At 47.1% G+C, this 17,366-nt stretch overlaps 1 protein-coding gene across 8 annotated transcripts in view, besides 3 other annotated features; it reads left to right on the plus strand.

The window, feature by feature from the left end:
* Positions 1–17,366, plus strand: part of ZNF578 (zinc finger protein 578) — a 63,330-nt gene that overhangs the window by 37,045 nt on the left and 8,919 nt on the right. For 4 of the 8 annotated variants that reach the window (NM_001099694.2, XM_047438191.1, XM_047438190.1 and 1 more), the window contains 3 exons: positions 727–828; positions 11,230–11,311; positions 14,058–14,184. In NM_001099694.2, coding sequence (NP_001093164.1) covers positions 11,249–11,311; positions 14,058–14,184 — 190 coding nt within the window. In that variant the 5' untranslated portion in view covers positions 727–828; positions 11,230–11,248. Of the gene's footprint in view, positions 1–726; positions 829–2,206; positions 2,267–11,229; positions 11,312–14,057; positions 14,185–17,366 lie in introns of those variants that run through there. The other 4 variants (NM_001366182.2, XM_047438189.1, XM_047438193.1 and 1 more) reach the window with 3 other exon arrangements.
* Positions 2,519–3,157: an enhancer, noted in NCBI's record as "H3K27ac hESC enhancer chr19:52996369-52997007 (GRCh37/hg19 assembly coordinates)". NCBI's record gives its function as "activates a minimal SCP1, AML or CMV promoter by ChIP-STARR-seq in primed H9 embryonic stem cells {active_cell/tissue: H9 hESC(primed)}" and the evidence as "EXISTENCE:reporter gene assay evidence [ECO:0000049][PMID:30033119]".
* Positions 3,158–3,795: an enhancer, noted in NCBI's record as "H3K27ac hESC enhancer chr19:52997008-52997645 (GRCh37/hg19 assembly coordinates)". NCBI's record gives its function as "activates a minimal SCP1, AML or CMV promoter by ChIP-STARR-seq in primed H9 embryonic stem cells {active_cell/tissue: H9 hESC(primed)}" and the evidence as "EXISTENCE:reporter gene assay evidence [ECO:0000049][PMID:30033119]".
* Positions 9,815–10,654: an enhancer, noted in NCBI's record as "OCT4-NANOG-H3K27ac-H3K4me1 hESC enhancer chr19:53003665-53004504 (GRCh37/hg19 assembly coordinates)". NCBI's record gives its function as "activates a minimal SCP1, AML or CMV promoter by ChIP-STARR-seq in naive H9 embryonic stem cells {active_cell/tissue: H9 hESC(naive)}" and the evidence as "EXISTENCE:reporter gene assay evidence [ECO:0000049][PMID:30033119]".

Consider the following 17,366-nt stretch of genomic DNA (forward strand, 5'->3'; position numbering starts at 1 on the left):
AGGTAATTTTAAGACAGGTATTCAGAAAAAAATTGTATTAACATTTTTTTTTTTTTTTGAGACGGAGTCTTGCTCTGTCACCCAGGCTGGAGTGCAGTGGCACAATCTGGGCTCACTGCAATCTCCGCCTCCCAGGTTCAAGGGATTCTTGTGCCTCAGCCTCCCGAGTAGCTGGGACTACAGGTGACCGCCACCACGCCTGGCTGATTTTTGGAATCTTTTCTTATCTTCTCTGTGCTATGATTATTTGACAATACAGAATTTCCATTGATTTTGGTTACTCTTACATAAGCTTCTTGTGGATTATTTACCAATATAGTATATTGTATGGTCTTTTAGCATTTATTTGTATACAGTAGATATTCTGTAACTATGAAGAATATATACTTTTCTTCTCATTGATGTGACAGTGATATGTTTTTTTGCAAACTGATAGAATTTAGGGTCACAGTGGAAAAACACTCCTGACTTTAGGCTTACACATGTTTGTGCCCTGTCAGAGTTTTGTCATGACATTGGATACAGGCTTCCATAGAAATGATTTGAAGGACATGTAATCGCCCTTTATTTATATTAAAGAATCTTACTCCTTTTGTATTCCTAAACTTTGAAGATCATGTTTGGAAAGTTTAAAATAAGTATTTTTTTGTGTGTCATATTTACACATTTCAGTATGATTTACCATCTGGACTTAATTGGAAACGTATTGGTGTTTATATTTTGTAGATATCTCTTCCAAATGCATGATGAAAAAGGTGGGAAGATTACTTGAGCCAGGGAGTTGAAGGCTGCAGTGAGCCCTGTTTTTGCCACCACACTCCAGCTTGGGTGAGTGAGCTACACCCTATCGCAAATAAGTCAATAAATGAGAGGTTTAATTCCTCCTTTGAAAATAAAGAAAGAGATTTTCTTTCCTTTCATCCCTTTTCTTAGGACATTTATTTAGAAAATATGCAAAAATACGAAAGTTAGCTGGGCATGGTCGTGTGCGCTTGTAATACCAGATACTCCAAAGGCTGAGGCAGAAGAATAGCTTCCACCCAGTAGGCAGAGGCTGCAGTGAGCCACGATCTCGCAACTGCACCCCAGCATGGGCCACAGAGAAATACTGTCTTAAAAATAAAATAAAAGAAAAAAGTAAAAAAAGAAAAAGTAATAGATCTCTTTAACAAACGTACTGGGACAACTAACTGGATATCCACATGGAAAAGAATAATGTTGGATCCCTATGTTACACCATGAAAAATTTTATTTAAAAACGGTAAAACAAACAAAAAACAAGGCCGTGTGGGGTGGCTCACATCTGTAAGCCAAGCAGTTTGGGAGGCTGAGGAGGGCGGATCACGAAGTCAGGAGATCGAGACCATCCTGGCTAACACGGTGAAACCCCATCTCTGCTAAAAATACAAAAAATTAGCTGGGCTTCGTGGTGGTCGCCTCAAATCCGTTACTCCAAAGGCTGAGGCAGGAGAATGGCGTGAACCCGGAAGTTGGAGCTTGCAGTTAGCCAAAACCGTGCCACTGCACTCCAGCCTGGGCGACAGAGAGAGATTCTGTCTCAAAAAAAAAAAAAAAAAAAAAAAAAAAAAAAAAGGGAGGGAGAGACGAGGAAGGGAGCCCTGTGAGAGGGGGTGTTACTTTGTCACCAGGCTGGTCTGGACCCCCAGGTTCAGCGATTCTCTGGCCGCTGCTTCCTGAGTAGCTGGGACCTCAGGCTTCCGCCTCGTGCCCGCATCCCTGCTGTGTTTAAGCAGCAGGTGGTGACCTCACTTCTCCCTTTCCTGAGCACTCAGTCCCGCATCCCAGGCGGAGGCCCTAGGGAAGTCTCTGAAGCTGAGCACAGGGTGGACTCTCCCTCCTGAATGAATGGCGAATAGAAAGAGAGAGGATTTCTGTTCTGTTCTGTGGGCCATCAGCATGAAATCATATGTTCCTCCCAGGCAGGGCTTTGCATTTCACATTTTAGTTTGCATGCCCGTTCCAGACAATTCCAGGGTTTTGAATCATGCCTCAACCTTCCTGGCCGCTCTCCCCTCCAAACACCCAAAAAACAGAGGAGCTGCCTGCCAGGCCAAGTGATGCACAGGTCCCGCCCCGGCCCCGCCCTCTGCCGGTTCTAAAGGGCAAGGTCTCTCCGCCTCGCGCTCCGACCCTACCCCGCCCAGGACCCGCCAAACTGTTCGCGGGCCCCGCCCAGGCCTGGCTTCTGTCCTGCGCGCGCAAACCAGGTGGCGTATCGCTTGGAGTGAAGGTCCTACCGCGGCATGTGAGTTTCGCTCTGTGTTGTGTTAAGTCTGCGCTTCCCAGGTCCCCGGCGCTTCTGTCCCTAGGACTTTGGGTCCCCACGGACCTGGAAATTCTCGCTTGTCTTCATTCACATAGAGCAAATTGAGATGTCCCCGTAAGAGTCCGGGAGTTGCTTCCTTTTGGGTTTGAAGTCGTCCGGAGGCTGGTCCAGTCCCTGGTCTTTCTGCTGTAGGGCAGTGTATACACTTCTATAGCGTAATTTTCCTGCTCAAAACCTTTTTCTGACTCTCCCGCCCCGTGCTTCTTAAAGTCCTCACCCGCGAGGTGGATTCCCGCCCTGGGCGCCTCCCAGGCTCGGCCCCTGGAGCACAGCGCCCCGGGCCCAGTCCTGGGGAGGCTGCGTCTTCTGCCTGGTCCTGGAATCCTGCAGGTGTCACCCTTGTCTTAAGGCGCCGTCGCCCCCTACGTCCCTCCTCGTGCCGGGCCCTGCTGCTCCCGTAGTCTTCCCTCTGCAGTCACCGCTTCCCCTGAACCAGCATTGGGCAGGTCCCAGGGGCTTGTCCTTTGACCCGGGATATTCTTGCCTGCCCAGTTCCACCCCCCGGAAAATGCGCTTCTCCGCGATGCAGGAGTCTTACTCCAAACCCGCAGAGTTTTGCTGGTGGCAAGGAGAACCGAGGGAGAAACACAGCAGGGAGGACACCGGGGGATCTGGGGTGCTAGAGAGTGGGGACAGGGGGGTATAACAGGGAAGAGAGAATTTAACAGGGAGAGCAGAGGAGACGCAGAGATAAGAGGCGGTAATATATAGAGATTGAGGACGATCGAAAGATTGGGGGGAAGGGCAACAAGAGGTTAAATAAGGACCGGGCGCGGTGGCTTATGCCTGTAATCCCAGCAGTTTTGGAGGCTGAAGCGGGCAGATCACCTGAGGTCCCGAGTTCGAGACCAGCCTGTCCAACATGGAGAAACCCCGTCCCTACTAAAAATGCAAAATTAGCCGGGCGCGGTTGCACATGCCTGTAACGCCAGCTATTAGGGAGGCTGAAGCTGGAGAATCGCTTGAACCTGGGAGGCGGAGGTTGTGGTGAGCCGAGATCTCACCATTTCACTCCAGCCTGGGCAACAAGAGCAAAACTCCGTCCAAAAAAAAAAAGTGGTTAAATAAGTTGTGAGGATGGAGCAGAAGAGGTGGAAGAGAAGTAATAGAGGGAAGAATGGAATAAATAGCAGGAGAGGAGAGGGGTACAAAATGAGCAGAATCCCAGGGAAAAAGACAAGAAAACAAGAGCTAGAGAGAAGGGGAGAATGAGAGATGTGTAAAGAATTAGGGAGGGAAGCACAGTAATGAAGAAAGAGTGGCTGGGCGCAGTGGCTCAAGCCTGTAATCCCAGCACTTTAGGAGACTGAGGCAGAGGGATTGCTTGAGTCCAGGAGTTCAAGACTAGCCTAGGCAAAATAGTGAGACCCGCCATCGCTGTCAAAAAAAAAAGAAAAAAAAATTTAACGGGGCATGATAGTGTAGACCTGTAATTTCAGCTACTCTGTAGGCAGAGGCTGGAGGATCACTTGAGCCCAGGAGCTCCAGGCTGCTGTGAGCAGAGATCATGCCACTGTACTCCAGCCTGGTCAAAAGAGCAAGACCCTGTCTTAAAAGAAAAAAAGGGTTGGGGACTTTGGATACAGATGAGTGTGTGAGTTCATTGGATATGATTAGTTGTGACATGTTGACTTCTGTCTATATAATCTAATAACTTGTCTAAATTATACAGATGAGTTTGAGAATTTTAAAAGTCCTATCTGTGAGTCATGTACATTCTATAAATCTTGGTATCAGAGGTTAGCTTCCACTTGGAATCCCTATTCAGCCCGCGGGCAGTGACATTCAGTTGTGAGTCACTCTCTTCCCTTTTCCCAGGGTGGGGTAGGAAGTGGGGCAGTGATGTGGAAAAAAAAATCACTTTCTGTTATTATGTAATACTTTTAATTAATTAATTAATATTTTGAGACAGGGTCTGGCCCTATTGCCCAGGCAGGAGTACAATGGTGTTATCTACTCTAACTGAAGCCTCGACCTCCTAGGCTCAAGCAATCCTCCTCCCTCAGTCTCCTGAGTAGCTGAGACCACTGGTGTGAGACACCAAGCCCAGCTAGTTGTTTTTTTTTTCTTTGTTTGTTTTTTTGTAGAAACAGGGTTTCAGTATGTTTCCCGGGGTGGTCTCAAAATCCTGGGCTCAAAGGTTCCTCCTGTCTTGGCCTTGCAAAGTACTGGGATTACAGGGATGAGCCACCGCGCCCAGCCTACATACTAATTATTATTAGTAGTAGTAGTTTTTTGAGGTGGAGTTTCACTCCTGTTGCCCAGGCTGGAGTGCAAGGGCACGATCTTGGCTAATGACTCTCTGTGCCTTTAGAGTTGAAGCGATTCTCCTGCGATACTACCCCCTGAGTAGCTGGGATTACAGGCATGCGCCACCATGCCCCGCTAATTTTGGATTAGGAGGCCGAGGCAGGAGAATCACTTGAACCCAGGAGGCAGAGGTTGTGGTGAGCTGAGATCGCACCATTGTACTTCAGCGTGGGCAATAAGAGCGAATCTCTGTCTCAAAAAAACCAAAAAAGAATGGAGCAAAACAGGAGAGGGGTATAAAATGAGCAGAAGCCCAGGGGGAAATGCAGAAAAGAAACAGATGGAGAGAGAAAGTGAAAAAGGGCTATGTATAAAATGATGGAGGGAAGCAGTAATGAAGATGAAGGGGGACCCTGAGTGCAGATGAGCGGTGAGTTGATTGGATGTGATGATGAAGTGATGACACGTTGTTTTCTCTGTTTATAATGTAACAAATTTAAAATTAGTTTAAATTATACAGATGAGAATGAGAGTTGCCAAACTCCTGTGTCTAAGTGTGGTGCATTTTATAATGATGGCGTCAGAGGCAGCTTCCCTCTGCAACCCCTCTTCAGCCAGAGGACAGTGACTTGACTCATTCGTTGTGGATCACCCTCTTCCCTTTTCATGGCTGGGGTCGGGAGTGGGGGAAGAGAAGTAGGGTAAGAAGTGACTGACTCTGTTACTATATGGAACGTGATGAAAGGAGTATTAAAGTGCTTTTTTTCTCTTTTTGTAATTGGTTTCCTTTTTTCTAGTTCCTCCTCATTTAATTAGTTTAGTTGTCTTTTTGTTTTTCTTTTTGAGATGGAGTCTCTCTCTGTCACGCAGGCTGGAGTGGAGTGGAGCGATCTGGACTCACTGTAACCTCTGCCTCCCGGGTTCAAGGAATTCTCTGCCTCAGCCTCCCGAGCAGCTGGGATTATAGGCGCCCACAACCACACCTGTCTGATTTTTGTATTTTTAGTAGAGACAGGATTCACCATCTTGGCAAGATGGTTCTTGAACTCATGACCTCGTGATCCACCCTCGTCGGCCTCCCAAAGTGCTGCGATTACAGGCATGAGCCACCACGCTCGGCCTCATTTGTTGTTATTTATTTATTTATTTATTTGAGACAGAGTCTCGCTCTGTCACCCAGGCTGGAGTGCAGTGGCGCAATCTCGGCTCACTGCAAGCTCCGCCTCCCGGGTTCACGCCATTCTCCTGCCTCAGCCTCCCGAGTAGCTGGGACTACATGCGCCCGCCACCGCGCCCAGCTAATTTTTTGTATTTTTAGTAGAGACGGGGTGTCACCATGTTAGCCAGGATGGTCTCGATCTCCTGACCTCGTGATCCGCCCGCCTCAGCCTCCCAAAGTGCTGGGATTACAGGCGTGAGCCACCGCGCTCAGCCTCATTAGTTGTTATTTATTTATTTATTTGAGACAGAGTCTCGCTCTGTCACCCAGGCTGGAGTGCAATGGCGCAATCTCGGTCACTGCAACCTTCGCCTCTGGGGTTCATGTGATTCTCCTGCCTCAGCCTCCTAAGTAGTTATGATTACAGGCACGCAGCACCATGGCCGGCTAATTTTGTATTTTCAGTAGAAATGGGGTTTCTCCATCTTGGTCAGGCTGGTCTTGAACACCTGACCTCAGGTGATCCTCCTGCTTCAGCTTCCCAAGGTGCTGGGATTACAGGCATGAGCCGCCGCGCCCAGCCTTTAATTTTTATTTTTTTGAGACACTCTTGCTGTTGTCCAGGCTGGAGTGCAGTGGCAGGATCACATCTCAGTGCCGTAGCAACCTCCTGGGCTCAAGTGATTTTCCCACCTCAGCCTCCGGAGTAGCTGGGGCCACAGGCACGCCCCACGAGGCCTGGCTATTGTTTAGATATATATATTTATTTGTTGAGACTCTCTGTCACCCAGGCTGGAGTGCAGTGGCACGATTTCGTCTCACTGCAACCTCCGCCTCCCAGGGTCAAGCGATTCTCCTGCCTCAGCCTCCTGAGTAGCTGGGATTACAGACGCCCACCACCCTCCCAGCTAATGTTTGTACTTTTAGTAGAGACAGATTTCAGCATGTTGGCCAGGCTGGTCTCAAACTCCTGACTTCATGATCCGCCCACCTTGGCCTCCCAAAGTGCTTGTGCACCACTATGCCCTGCTAATTTTAGTATTTTTGGTAGAGACATAGTTTCTCCATGTTGGCCAGGCAGGTCTCGAACTGCTAACCTTGTGGTGGTCTTCCTGCCCTGGCCTCCCAAAGTGCTGGGATTATAGGTGTGAGTCACCATGCCCGGCCTTATTGTTTTCAAAGTATGATATATTTTCAACTATTTCTCCTTTGAGCCAAGATTTCATTACATCTATATTTTTTGAACATTTTAAAATTGTTTCTCTGTGAAATTGTGTTCAGTTTACATTGAGGTCTGTTTGCTTTCTAGTCTTTATCATATATCGAAAACATTTTCTACTATGTGATATATGATGTTAGGTTGTTTCAGTGTGTACTTGATAATGATATCAAGGACCTTTTTTCTTTATCCTAACATGAAAATTTAGTTAAAGTAGCCTATTCCATTTTCTTTTCTTATGTCATCTGAAAAAATGGTTATCTGTGAGCTTCTAAGTAAGTGTCCCCCTCAAGTCCCTCTGGTCCATAATATTCTCTACAGATGTTGAAGGATGGGCTGGATTGACTTGGAACCTTGGTTTAGCAGAGCCCATGTGTTCATGAGAAAAGCATTTGCTCAGATCTCATTTCTACAGCTGCCTCTTTTTCAGTGTTTTAAACACCTATTGCTGTGTGTGCACATGGTGTGTTTTGCACATTTTTCTGGGAGTGAGTAATGATATGTTTGGGATTGATGCCATCAGAACCTTACAACTCGAAAGAAGTTTCCTTTGCTCAGGTATATAAGATGGTCCTGGAATTTTTGTTTGTTTGTTTTTCTTTGAGATGGAGTCTCGCTCTGTCGCCCAGGCTGGAGTGCAGTGACATGATCTCAGCTCTCTGCAACCTCCACCTCTCGGGTTCAAGCAATTCTTTTGCCTCAGCCTCCCGAGTAGCAGAGACTACAGGTGCCCACCACCACGCCTGGCTAATGTGTGTTTTTTTTTTTTTTTTTTTTGAGATGGAGTCTCACTCTGTCGCCCAGGAGGGAGTGCAGTGGCGCAATCTCCTCTCACTGCAAGCTCTGCCTCCTTGGTTCATGCCATTCTCCTGCCTCAGCCTCCGGAGTAGCTGGGACTACAGGCACCCACCACCACACCCAGAGAATTTTTTGCATTTTTAGTAGAGACGGGCATTCACCGTGTTAGCCAGAATGGTAATTTGTGTATTTTTAGTAGAGACGTGATGTCACCATATTGGCCAGGATGGTCTTGAACTCCTGACCTTGTGATTTGCCCACTTTGGCCTGCCAAAATGATGGGATTACAGGAATGAGCCACCTCGCCTGGCCGCTTTTTTTTTTTTTTTTTGTAAGACAGAGTGTCACCCTATCACCCAGGCTGGAATGCAGTGGAACAATCTTGGATCACTGCAACCTCTGCCTCCCGGGCTCAAGTGATCTTGCGTCAGCCTCCCAAGTAGCTGGAACCACAGATGCACGCCACGATGCCTGGCTAATTTTTTGTATTTTTGTTAGAGATGGGGTTTACTATGTTGCCCGTGTTGGTCTCAGACTTCTTGGCTCAAGTGATTGGCCTGCCTCAACTACCCAAAGTGTTGGGATTTCAAGGGTGGGTCACCATTCCTGGCTGGTCTTGGAATTTTCTAGAGGAGGAAGACCAAGGCAGCCTATTGGCCCTTTCAGGCCATCACATTGGAATCAGCCACACCTCCTTCCTCCTCACCTCAGAGCTTCTCAGGATAACTTGGTGAAATGTCTCCCGCTGTGAGCCTTAGTGAGCCCACCTGTAACATAGAGGTGAGGAATAAGATCAGAAAAGCTCAGTCAGTGACACTGACCCCTGAAACGACTGACAAAATACAGTGTGTGACTTTTCTTCTGGGAGAGGATAATGGTCATTTTTAACTCAAATTTCAAATGAATTCCAGTTCTCCAAGATGAGCAAAAACAGGGGATTAGACTCAAATCACCTTGAAGGTTATCATCTCACAGCTTTCACCCACCTACACGACTCCATGTCCCCTGCAGGCCTCAACCCTGAGCTCTACAATCCTGTGTCCAGTAGTCTCCTCAGCTCTCTCCTGGGACATCAAACAGGCATCCCCACCTTCAGCTGTCCATAAGTGACTTCCTAAATCCCCAAACACATTCCCTTGCAGTCTGCACATCTCAGATGAGAGTGAATGTGTACTTCCGAAAACTTAGCTGAACTTGACAGCACATATTTTAAATATGGGAAATACATTACATTATTTGTAAGTGTTGTAATTTATAATACATAGAGAAACGTACATGTATATGTGAAAAGAGTGAGAAGATACATCACTTCCAAATCGTTTTTTTTTTTTTGAGATGAATTTTCACTCTTATGGCTGAGGCTGGAGTGCAATGCCATGATATCAGCTCACTGCAACCTCTGTCTCCTGGGATCAAGGGATTCTCCTGCCTCAGACTCCCGAGTAGCTGGGATCACAATCGACTTTCAAAATGCTTTTGGGTTGTGGGAGAAAAATGTTTGAAGACCATGTCCCTATGGGTCTGTGCCCCCAGGACCTCTCTGACCTCATCTCCTACCTGTGCCCTCCTCTCTTCCACTGTTCCAGCCCCACGGGCCGCTTTCCTTTTCCTGGGGCTGAGGTTGCTCCTGTCTCAGGGCCTTCACTTGAGCTGTCCCTCTCTCTAGGATGCTCTTCCCCTCAGCTGCAAGTGACAAGCAGCCTTTCTTTCCTAGGTCCTTGTTCTGATATCATCTTCTCCGGGTCTCCTTTGTGATCTCCCACAGCCCTCATTCGACACTGCGGCTGTGAAATCAGAAAATCTTACAGAGATCTCAGTTAATTTAGAAAGTTTATTTTGCCCAAGGTGGTCGGCGCAGAGCTTAATTTTATACATTTTATGGAGACATGAGACATCAATCAATATATGTAAGAAGTACGTTGGTTTGGTCTGGGAAGGTGGGAGAACTTTAAACAAAGGCAGGAAGACTTGAAGCAGGGAAGGGGCTTTTAGGTCACAGAGAACTGAGGCACAAATGGTTGCAATCTTTTGAGTTTCCTTTTTTTTTTTTTTTTGAGATGAAGTCCCATTTTGTCACCCAGGCTGGAGTGCAGTGGCACGATCTTGGCTCACTGCAACCTCTCCCTCCTGGGTTCAAGTGATTCTCCTCCCTCAGCTTCCCAAGTAGATGCCCAGATCATTTTTGTATTTTTAGTAGAGATGTCTTTTCACCATGTTGGCTGGGACGGTGTCGACCTCTTGACCCCAAGTGATCTGCCTTCCTCGGCCTCCCACAGTGCTGGGATTACAGTCCTGAGCCACTATGCTGGGTCTTTCTTTTGAGTTTGATTAGCCTTTCAAAGGAGGTACTCAGATAGGCATGTATGTCAGGGAGCAGAGGGGTGACTTTGAATAGAAGGGGAGTCTGGTTCCCTAAGCAGTTCCCAGCTTGACTTTTCCCTTTTGCTTAGTGATTTTGGGCCCCAAGATTTATTTTCCTCTGGTCCACATTGACTGTTTTGTGTGACTTTTTTTTTTTTTTTTTTTGAGATAGAGTCTTGCTCTGTCACCCAGGCTGGAGTGCAGTGGTGGGATCTCGGCTCACTGCAACCTCTGTCTCCTGGCTTCAAGCAATTCTCCTGCCTCAGCCTCCTGAATAGCTGGGATTATGGGCACCCGCTACCATGCCCAGCTAATTTTTGTACTTTTAGTAGAGAAAGCATTTCGCCATGTTGGCCAGTCTGGTCTTGAAGTCCTGACCCTGTGATCCAGCCGCCTCGGCCTCCCAAAGTGCTGGGATTATAGGCGAGAGCCCCTGCGTCTGGCCTCTTTGTGATTATTTTTGTGCCTTTGTCATCCACTGTCTGGATCCTGGTGAGAACTTGGCCCCAAGCGGAGGGCAGAGCCAGAACGTGGGGCTGTGCTGGGCTCGCCCCCTCTGAGTGGAGCTCAACCCTGGCTTCACATTAGAGTGCGGAGCATTTTGCAAATAGAGCTTTTGTGCCGCTTTAGCAGGGATTCTTATTCTGACGGGATGGAACCCACCCTCAGTAATACCTGCAGTGGCGCAGGTGCTTGTCATCTGTGTGCAGCATTGAGCATGGAAGCTCTGAGTCCTGCATTTCTGAGGGCTGAGCTCAGCCTGTGATCCACAGAGAGGTGAGGGGCTGTCCTCTGGATGCGGTTTGATCAGGGATGGGTCTGTGCCCTGAAGGAGAGATCAGTCCAGCCCAGCTCCCCACTGCTGCCTCGTGTGTGGTGGCTGCTCCAGGAGGGGGGCGAGATCTGAAGACCAGGGTCAAACATACACTTATAGGTCTTCCTGTGGGACTTTCTTATGTCTGCATGATCTCTGGTGCAGTGGGCAGTGGGGGGGGCTTCTTTGTACAGGGTGATGTCTCCCCGTTCCTGTGTTTTTATCACAGGAAGGGAGTGAGTCATATCTAACCTGAAGTCTTATTTTTCTTCCACATACAGGATTGATTTCTAAAGACTCATGTTACATGAGGAAGCAGCTCAGAAGAGGAAAGGAAAGGAGCCAGGCATGGCTCTTCCTCAGGTGAAGTGATATTCCTCTGTGGATTAATCTGTCTCTTTCCTTTCTGAAGTGTAGTAGTATTATATTGTATTGTAGTAATGTATTGTAACAGCCAGTCTTTTCTGAGTCTGAAGCATTTTGCCTGACACGTTTGCTTGCACTCACCCATGCCTGCCCTCAGTTCCTCTCATTTGCTCAAAAGAATTCCATCTCCTGTGACCCAGTGACATGAACTTGGGAAGAGGCTCCACTGGGCATGGTCCTGGGAAGGGCTCACACCCAGACATGGATTAACATGGGGTGTGGGCCCGTTGATGTCATTGCTGCTGGGCAGCCTGGATTGTTCAGGGGCCATATCTGGATGTCAGCTCTTTGTGGACCAGATTAGAGAAACTGCATATGAAATACGTATGTTAATGTGCCCAGGTATGTGGCAAATTCTGGGAAAGGAGACGAATAAGGAGAGGTATTTTGTATCTCATTTGGTAATGCATTTGAAGCCACACTAGTAGATCAAGATGTCTCTGTCTCCAAACTTTTTGTTTTGTTTTAAGAGACAGGATGTTGGTCCAGGTGGGATGGCTCACACTTGTAATCACAGCACTTTGGGAGGCCAAGGCAGGAAGATCACTTGAGGTCAGGAGTTCAAGACCAGCCTGGCCAACATGGTGAAACCCCATCTCTACTAAAAATACAAAAATTAGCTGTGTGTGGCGGTGCATGCCTGTAATCTCAGCTACTTAGGAGACGGAGGCAGGAGAATCGCTTGAGCCCAGGAGGTGGAGGTTACCATACACTGAAATTTTGCCACTGCACTCCAGCCTGGGAAACGGAGCAAGACTCTGTCTCAAAAGAAAAAGAGAGGGAGAGAGAAGGTGTCGCTCTGTGGCTTAGTTCTGGAGTACAATGGCACAATTCAGAGTTTACAGCAGCCTCAAACTCCTGGGCTCAACTAATCCCTCCTTTAGACTCCCAAAGAGCCTGAGTGATAGGCATGGGTCACCATATGTATGTATGTATTTTAAGATGGAGTCTCGCTCAGTCACCAAAGCTGGAGTGCAATGTCAGGATCTCAGCTCACTGCATCCTCTCCCTCTGGGTTTCAAGCAATTCTTCTGCCTCAGCCTCCTGAGTTGCTGGGACTACAGGATGCACCACCACACCCAGCTAGTTTTTGTACTTTTAGTTGGGACAGGGTTTCATTATGTTCTTTAGGCTGGTCTCAAACTCCTGACCTTGTGATCTGCCTGTCTTGGACTCCCCAGGTGCTGGGATTAAAGGTGTGCACCACCATGTCTGGCCTTATTTTTTATATTGTATTTTTATTTTGTTGTCCAGGCTGGAGTGCAGTAATGCAATCATAGCTTGCTACAGCCTTGATATCCTGGCCTCCAGTGATCCTCCCCTCTTGGCCTCCCAAATTGCTGGCATTCCAAATGGGAGACAGCCAGCCCGGCTGGACTCTGCACTTTTTTTGAGATGGAGTCTCTCTCTGTTGCCCAGGTTGTATTGCAGTGGCGGGATCTCAGCTCACTGCAACCTCTGCCTTCCGGCTTCAAGCAATTCTTTTGCCTCAACCTCTGGAGTATCTGGGATTACAGGCATTCGCTGTCACGCCTGGCTAAGTTTTTTGTATTTTTATAGAGATATGGTTTCAGCATGTTCCCAGGCTGGTCTTGAATTCCTGACCTCGTGATCCACTCACCTCGGTCTCCCAAGTGCTGGGATTACAGGCATGAGCCACTGAGACTGACCAATCATGATAGTTTTTAGATTCGGACTTTTCTTTGAAAGCCATTTGACTTTGTCCTCTCTGAAACACCACTTGTATCTTAGCTCATCTAGAGACTAAATATCAGCTCGTATGTTGAACATAATATCTGACATGTCTGTAGAGAAAACCCTGTGTTTGCTTTTTTTTTTTTTTTTGAGATGGAGTCTTGCTCTGTTGCCAGGCTAAAGTGCAGTGGTGCAATCTCAGCTCACTGCAACCTCCGCCTCCCGGATTCAAGCGATCCTCCTGCCTCAGCCTCTTGAGTAGCTGGGAGTACAGGTCCACACCACGACACCCAGCTAATTTTTGTATTTTTATTAGAGACATGGTTTTGCCATGTTGGCCAGGATGGTCTCGATTTCTTGACCACATTATCTGCCCACATTGGTCTCCCAAAATGTTGGGATTACAGGTGAGAGCCACCGCCTGGCATTGCTTTTTTTTTTTAACATGGAGTGTCAGTCTGTTGCCCAGGATGGAGGGCAGTGGTGCGATCTTGGCTCACTGCGGCCTCCATCTCCTGACTTCAAGTGATTCTCCTGCCTCAGCCTCCTGTGTAGCTGGGATTACAGGAGCCTGCCACAATGCCCGTCTAATTTTTATATTTTTAGTGGAGACAGGTTTCCACCACATTGGCCAGGGTGGTCTCGAACTCTTGAACTCAAATAATCTGCCCACCTTGGCCTCCCGAAGCATTGGTATTACAAGCGTGAACCACCATGCCCAGCCCTGTGTTTCCTTTTTATTTATATAGTTTTTATATTGTCCATAAAATCGAGACTTCCATAGCGACTTATGGGATCTTAAAATCTTTCAAGGAAAAGTACAATAAAATGCAACTATTGAGAAAAAAAATTCAAAAATACCTTAACGTGGTTTTGTCACAACACAGTCTTTGATCAAAGAAATACTTATTTTCTCTTTTCTCATTTCCTGTGAAGGTGATAACTCAATCCTCCATAATGTTTTGTTGAAATGTGTGTTTCATTTTAGGGACGCTTGACTTTCAGGGATGTGGCTATAGAATTCTCATTGGCAGAGTGGAAATTCCTGAACCCTGCGCAGAGGGCTTTGTACAGGGAAGTGATGTTGGAGAACTACAGGAACCTGGAGGCTGTGGGTGAGGAAAATGTCCCTGCAGACATGAGGAGTCTGCTCTTGTCTGTCTTGGCTCTTCCTGGTTTTGTATTCTCTTTTGTGATTTTGCCCCATACGTGGTTTTTTTGTTTGATTGTTTGTTTGGTTTGAGATGGATCTTTGCTCTTGTTTCCCAGGCTGGAGAGCAATGGTATATCGGCTCATCATAACCTCCACCTTCCGGGTTCAAGTGATTCTCCTGCCTCAGCCTCCCGAGGGGCTGGGATTATAGGCATGCGCCACCACGCCCAGCTAACTTTGTATTTTTAGTAGAGATGGGGTTTCTCCATGTTGGTCAGGCTCGTCTCTAACTCCCGACCTCAGGTGATCCGCCCACCTTGGCCTCCCAAAGTGCTGGGATTACAGGCGTGAGCCACCATGCCCAGCTCATTCTGGTTTTTGAGGAGCATCACAGAAGCGTCTCTCACTGGCACTGTGACAATGTTCATCCCATAAACTAATGATCATCTTCTCTAAGCAGCAGTCAGTGGTGTTGAAATTTCTCCTAGCGGGGACATCATTTGGGCTCACAGCCTCATATGTATGAGGCTGTTGACTGAACTCTTGTTCATTTCACATTTTTCACACCAATATATGTCATTGTTCATTTTTTGTTTGTTTGTTTGTTTTTTGTTTTTGTTTTTGAGACAGTCTCGCTCTTTCACCCAGGCCGACTGCAGTGGCACGATCTCGGCTCACTGTAAGCTCCGCCTCCCGGGTTCAAGCCATTCTTCTGCCTCAGCCTCCTGAGTAGCTGGGATTACAGGTGCCCGCCACCATGCCCAGCTAGTTTTTTTTTGTATTTTTAGTAGAGACGGGGTTTCACCGTGTTAGCCAAGATGCTCTCGATCTCCTGACCTTGTGATCCACTCTCCTCGACCTCCCAAAGTGCTGGGATTACAGGCGTGAGCCACTGCGCCTGGCCCATTGTTCATTTTTGACAAGAAAACCTATGTTCAGTTTGTTGTAGGGTCAACCCTGTAAGAGATATGGTTTTCATCAATCTTATTTAGGGAGCTTGTGAGGTTGAATGAGGTTTCCATGGTTTAGTTCTACTGTCATTTCCTTCAGACACAGTGGCTTTCAACTTGTTAGTTTCTATGTTGTTTTTTTTTTTGAGTCAGAGTCTCACTCTGTTTCCCTGGCTTGAGTGCAGTGGCTTGATCTTGGCTCACTGCACCCTCCACCTATTGGATTCAAGTGATTCTCCTGCCTCAGCCTCTTGAGTGGCTGGGATTACAGGCATGTGTCACCACAACCTAGTAATTTTTGGTAGTTCTATTACAGATGGCAGTTTCACCATGTTGGCTAGGCTTCTTTTGATAGCCTGGCCTGACGTGATTCACTTGCCTCGGATTCCAAACTGCTGGGATTACAGTCATGAGCCACCACCCCTGGCCCCATCCGAGTTTGTTTTTAAGGCTGAATAATACTCCATTTTATGTGTATACCACATTTTCCTCATGTATTTATCTGTCGATGGATATCTGGGTTGGTTTTTTCTCTTTACTATTATGAACAATACTACCAGGCTGGGTGCGGTGGCCCATGCCTGTAATCCCAGCACTTTGGAAGGCTGAGGTGGGTGAATCACCTGAGGTCAGGAGTTCGAGACCAGCCTGGCCAACATGGTGAAACCACATCTCTATTAAAAGTACAGTTTCTTTTTTTTTTTTTTTTTTTTTTTAAGATGGAGTATTGCTCTGTCACCCAGGCTGGAGTGCAGTGGTGCAATTTCAGCTTAGTGCAACCTCCACCTCCCAGGTCAGGCAATCTCCTACCTCAGCCTTCTGAGTAGCTGAAATTACAGATGTTCACCACCATGCCCGGCTAATACTTGTTTGTATTTTTTTAGTGGAGACAGTGTTTCACCATACTGTCCTGGCTGGTCTTGAACTGCTGATCTCTTGATCCACCTGCCCATTATGCCTGGCGCAAGCCTGGCTAATTTTTGTATTTTTAGTAGAGGTGGAGTTTCTACTTGTGATTCATCCACCTGCTTTTTAAAACAAGTGAATATTATTAGATGGCTTCATATATTATAAGTTTTACAGGACAGACTCTAAACTTCCTTTGTTTAATAAGATTTGTCGGCCTTTGGTGATGTTGATGATGAGATGCCCCTTTTCCTATCTCACTCATTTCATCGTTCTGTTAGAAATAGCTTAGACTGGCCAGCCGCAGTGGCTTATGCCTCTATTTCCAGCACTTTGAAAGGCTGAGGTGGGTAGATGGCTTGAGGTCAGGAGTTTGAGACCAGTCGGGCAAACATAATGAAACCTTGAATCTACTAAATTAAAAAAAACTGGATGGTCGTGATGGCTCACGCCTATAATCCCAATATTTTGGGAGGCCGAGATGGGTGGATCACTTGAGGTCAGAAGTTCGAGACCAGCCTGGCCAACATGGTGAAACCCCATATCTAGTAAAAACACAAAAATTAGCTGGGCATGTTGGTATGCACCTGTAATCCCAGCTTCTTGAGAGGCTGAGATGGGAGAATCACTTGAACCTGGGAGGTGGATGGTGCAGTGAGCCATGATCACGCCACTGCACTCCAGCCTGTATGACAGAGTTAGATTCCGTTTGCCACAAAACAAAACAAAAAAATTAGCCAGGCATGGTGGCATGTGTCTGTAGTCCCAGCTACTCACGAGGCTGAGGCACGAGACTCTCTTTAGGTAGGAGAATCGTGCCACTGCACTCCAGCCTGGGTGATGAAGCATGACTCAGTCTCAAAAACAGACAAAAAAAGAAATAGCTGGAACTGGAAAGCTTAAGACATAGAAATTTATTTCTCATTAATCTGGAAAGTGGGAAATCCAAGAGCAAGATGTCAGCTAGATTGGCTCCTGGTGAGAGCCTTCTTCGTGGTTTAGCCCAGCCGTCTTCCTGCTGTGTCCTGACATGGGGGAAAGAGGAGCAGGCAATGAGCTCTTTACTGTCTCTTTTTATAAATCACTAGTCCTGGCTGGACGAGCTGGCTCATGAGTGTAATCCCAGCACTTTGGGAGGCTGAGACAGCCAAATCACATGAGGTCGGGAGTTTGAGACCAGCCTGACCAACATGGAGAAACCACATCTCTACTAAAACTACAAAATTAGCCGGGAGTGGTGGCACATGCCTGTAATCCCAGCTACTCGGGTGGCTGAGACAGGAGACTC

This window comes from Homo sapiens, chromosome 19 (assembly GCF_000001405.40).
Source record: "Homo sapiens chromosome 19, GRCh38.p14 Primary Assembly".
Lineage (NCBI taxonomy): Eukaryota > Metazoa > Chordata > Mammalia > Primates > Hominidae > Homo > Homo sapiens.